Raw genomic sequence first — 5112 nt, 5'->3', positions numbered from 1 at the left:
AAAACAAGAAAAATGTTAGCGTCATGTGTGTGAAAGGTATGTAAGAAAATACAGTTCCTCAGGTAGGAAATGCAATTAGTAATAAATGATAATGAAATAAAGCTCAATCTTTCTAACAAACAATAAAATGCGAAACAAAATCTGAGATACTTTTTTACTTCATCATATTCACAAATACTTTAAAAGAGAATGAAAACCACAAAGATGATATATATCAAGAGTCAAGAAATGTGCAGCCATAAAAAGGAACGAGATCATGTCCTTCGTAGGAACATGGATGGAGCCATTATCCTCAACAAACTAACATGGGAACAGAAAACCAAACACCACATGTTCTCATTATAAGTGGGAGCTGGACGATGAGAACACCTGGACACATTGTGGGGAACAGCACACACTGGGACCTGTCAGGGTGGGGAGCGGGAGGGAGAGCAGCAGGAAGAATAGCTAATGGATGCTGGGCTTAATACTTAGATGATAGGTTGATCTGTGCAGCAAACCACCATGGCACACCTTACCTATGTAACAAACCTGCACATCCTGCACATGTACCCCAGAACTTAAAAGTTGAAGGAAAAAGTCTGGGTGCGGTGTCTCACGCCTGTAATCCCAGCACTTTGGGAGGCTGAGGTGGGCAGATCACAAGGTCAGGAGTTAGAGACCAGCCTGGCCAACATAGTGAAACCCTGTCTCTACTAAAAGTACAAAAATTAGCCAGGCACAGTGGTGCGCACCTGTAGTTCCAGCTACTCGGGAGGCCGAGGCAGGAGAATCGCTTGAACCTGGGAGGTGGAGGTTGTGATGAGCAGAGATCACGCCATTGCACTTCAGCCTGGGCAACAGAGTGAGACTCCGTCTCAAAAAAAAAAAAAAAAAGAGTCAAGAAATAATTGGGCAATCCAACATGCGCTTTGTCTTCCTAGCAACACAAAAACCTTTATATGTAAAGGTGATCACTGGATAATATAAGTGTAATGCTGAAAGAATAACAAATGCAATTCCACAATATGAGAACAGCTAAGCAAACCAAGGAACAGACACCATATGAACCATTTACATTGTCACAAAAATTATGTGTATGAAGACTATGAAGTGGTAAATGAAAATGGTTGAATATCAAATGTAACAAAGCATGGCCAACCTCTACTATATGATCACAACCATATACATTAAGCTAAAGCAGCCAGGTTGAATGAATTTTCATGTAGGAGGATTGTTCATAGCTCAAATTCCCAGGAGGAAATCTCTTGGTCAAAGGATGTGAACAGTTTAAATTTGAAATATATATTGTCAAATTGCCCTGCTAAAATATTGTTTCAGTTTATTTTCCAAAACAGAACTTTTCTGTGGCTACATGAAATTCATTCAATTATTTGACAAGATTTCCTGAACATCTCCTACATATCCAACACCCTACTGGATGATGGGATTTTAAGGTGAATATAAGGTGTCTAGATTCTCAGGGCACCAATTCATAGTCCAGGGAAGGACATAAAGATGTGAGGAATTTAATAATAAGAGAGTGTAAAATGTAAAATAAAAGTTGAACAGAATTCTACAGTAAAATGAGATAATTTTAATTAAGTGTAATATTGAATAAGTGAGATTTGACCACAATTCTATAAAATAACAGAAATCACACCTATTTCTGTTTGTTGGAACGAAGAAAGGCTTCTGAGGACAGCTGCTGTTTGCCAGCCATATTTGCCAGATGAAGAAAGAATCAAGTAAGGACTGATGCCAAGGCAAATGGAACGGTGAGGTCAGAGGCAAGGAGTGGAGAAAGATTAGGCAACTTGTCTGAGGATAGTAAATTCAATGTAGTCAACCAGGGTGAGATACTAATGGTAATTGAAATTAGACCTGAAGTCATCATTGGCATCAGCATTCCTCGAAACAAGAAAAACTTATGTGTAATGCTGAAAGAATAACAAATCTCATCACTCTTCTTTTTTCACATTGAATGTTAGTGCTATGTCCCAACACTGTAATGCAAAAGAGCCTAAGATTTCATCTAGTAGGTAGCCCTTTAGTGAGGTCAACTCCCATGTCCCTATTTTATTTTATTTTATTTTATTTATTTATTTATTTATTATTTTTTGAGACGGAGTCTCGCTCTGTCACCCAGGCTGGAGTGCAGTGGCATGATCTCGGCTCACTGCAAGCTCCGCCTCCCAGGTTCACACCATTCTCCTGCCTCAGCCTCCCCAGCAGCTGGGACTACAGGCACATGCCGCCACACCAGCTTTTTTTTTTTTTTTTTTTTGTATTTTTAGTAGAGACAGGGTTTCACTGTGTAGGCAGGATGGTCTCGATCTCCTGACCTCGTGATCCCCCCCGCCTCAGCCTCCCAAAGTGCTGGGATTACAGGTGTGAGCCACCGCGCCCGGCCCCCATGTCCCTATTTTCTTTTGAGCCCCTGATGGCTTTTTTCTGCCACAAAGGCCAGTCTTCCTTTCCCTCCAAGCACACCAACATCGGCTTAGCCAGTCTGCAGCACTCTTTCTTGGAGCTTAATCCCAACAATTCCTCCTAATCAGGTGACAACAGGGGACACCACTTAATTTCTTCTATGCATCCAAGGAATAAAAGTTAACATACAAGTATTTTTTTCAAAGTCTGAAGGATGAAATATGCATTATTTTTGTATTATGAAAAATATACCATTGTGAGATCAAGAGGAGGCCAAAGTGTTCACTGAAGGGCAAATTCAGTTACTGCAATGGGATGGATACTTGGTTAATCATCTTAATCCTTCTGGCCACATCCCTTCAACCTCAGGAGAGACCCAACCCCGACAGCCTCATCCTACCCAGGCTGTCCCCATATTACAGTTAGAGAATCACTGGTGGGAGGAAATGGCCCAGGTCTCTGGCCAGGTGGGGATTTCTGTGCCCTGAGGCAGATTATTTTCAGGGATGAATCCTGTTCACCCCACAGCCCACCCCTCAATGTACCCCCCAGTAATCTGGGACACGTGTGGCCTGGCCCTCCTACTGACACCAACATGTCTGGACCCCAACCTCCACCACCTCCACCACGTGTATCCTGTATCCACCAGGATACAACACGGCGGCCGGCAGTTAGTGGCCGGAAGGCTTCTCCAGCCTTTGCTCATGAGGGAGCAGCGGGGGGCATGTCTGAGTGGCACATGGAGGTGCAGTCTGTCAGAGCCCAGCTAATATATATGTCTATATTTTGTAGAGGTATCTTACTATGTTGCCCAGGCTGGTCTCCAACTCCTGGCCTCAAGCAATCCTCCTGCCTCAGCCTCCTAAAGTGCTGGGTTTGCACTTTGGTTTTTTGTTTGTTTTATAAGGAAACTAAAGAAGCCAAGGATTCTGGTTGAGTCCTAGATAACTGAGCTTTTCCTGGTGTTTGTTTGTTTGTTTGTTTTCTGAGACAGGGACCTGCTCTGTCACCCAGGCTGGAGTGCAGTGGTGTGATCTTGGCTCACTGTAGTCTCGAACGCTTGGGCTCAGGTGATCCTCCCACCTTAGCCTCCTGAGTAGCTCAAGTACAGGTATGCATCACCACACCCAGCTAATTTTTATATTTTTGTAGAGATAGGGTTTTGCCATGTTGGCCAGGCTAGTCTCAAACTTCTGAGTTCAAGCAAGCCTCCCGCCTCAGCCTCCCAAAGTACTGGGATTACAGGTGTGAGCCACCACATCCCACCCAATCCCAAAATGGTTACACTTTGAACTACTGTGCCTGGCCAATAGTGTCCTTTAATGCACAAAAATTTTAAACTTTAAGGAAGTCCAAATTATCTAATTTATCTTTTGTTGTCTCAGCTTTTGATGTCATATTTAAGAAAACATGGTCAAATACAAGGCCTGACCCCAATTTTAACCCATAGCTTTATGTGGGTCTGAGCTCCCTATTAGTAGAATCCACGGCCGGGCGCGATGGCTCACACCTGTAATCCCAGCACTTTGGGAAGCCAAGGTGGGTGGATCACCTGAGGTCAGGCGTTCAAAGCCAGCCTGACCAATATAGTGAAACCCCATCTCTACTAAAAATACGAAAATTAGCCAGGCGTGGTGGAGGGCGCCTGTAATCCCAGCTACTCTGGAGGCTGAGGCAGGAGGATTGCTTGAACCTGGTAGGCGGAGGTTGCAGTGAGCCGAGATTGTGCCACTGCACTCCAGCCTGGATGACAGAGCGAGAGTCTGTCTCAAAAATAAATAAATAAATAAAATAGAATCCAATGGTTCCTCATCAGAAGTCACTGGGAGCATTTTATTCAGAGGTCACTCTTTGTCATGGCAGGTATACTTTGACTGTTTTCCATGGGGGATCCCTGCGACTACTTGGGTCTGAACCACCTCATCCCTAGTAGATGGATGGCTTCAGGCATCTGGGATCCCTATCTCATGGATCCTGAATTTGTTTCAGGGAAAAATGAGCTGTTTTCCTCTAGGCCTACAGAAGTAGACACTGTCCTGGCCGCAAACATTCTGACTCCCACTAGCCAGAGACACCAGGGCTACTTGCATAATTCAGATACACTTTACCCATATAAGTGAAACTCTTCTGGGATGAGCCTGGAACCAAAATCTGGGGCAAGTCTGAGGGTGGAAAGAAATATGGTGCAGTTCTTGGTCCTCTTCCCATGCTTGGTCCTCTTGCCTCCGGGACCATGCAGAAGACTTGCTGACTCAGGGACACTTAAATCTAATCTAGGACACTCAAAACAGGGAAACGTGCTACTGAGTAACACATGAGAGCAGCCCCAGTTTCCAGGAACCTTTTTGATTTGGGGCAACTGGTCTTCAAAGAATGGGGATAACAAAACGCAGAACTCTGGAACTTTGTCTCAGGTGGGAACTGGGTGGATGGAATTGGGAATTGATAGATTGGACGGAGGAATGAGTAGATGGCAGATAGAGAGATAGATGATAGATAATAGATATAGATAGATAGATAGATAGATGATAGATAGATAGAAGATAGGTAGATAGATAGGTGATAGATAGATCAATCTGATCTACCATAGAAGCACTTTCTGCCTTTCTTTCTTGCCTCTTTTCTTTTGCACATCACAATGCAAAAAAAAAAGAAAAAATGAAGAGATTTGAGTATTTCTCCTTTGAATCATTTATTTAA

The 5112-nt window shown here is 43.5% G+C and overlaps 1 annotated feature.

Moving 5' to 3' along the window:
* Positions 971 to 1171: a silencer, noted in NCBI's record as "peak4594 fragment used in MPRA reporter construct". NCBI's record gives its function as "represses an SCP1 promoter by STARR-seq MPRAs in K562 erythroleukemia cells {active_cell/tissue: K562}" and the evidence as "EXISTENCE:reporter gene assay evidence [ECO:0000049][PMID:32103011]".

This window comes from Homo sapiens, chromosome 3 (assembly GCF_000001405.40).
Source record: "Homo sapiens chromosome 3, GRCh38.p14 Primary Assembly".
NCBI lineage: Eukaryota > Metazoa > Chordata > Mammalia > Primates > Hominidae > Homo > Homo sapiens.
This window is presented reverse-complemented; position numbering and strand designations above follow the sequence as displayed.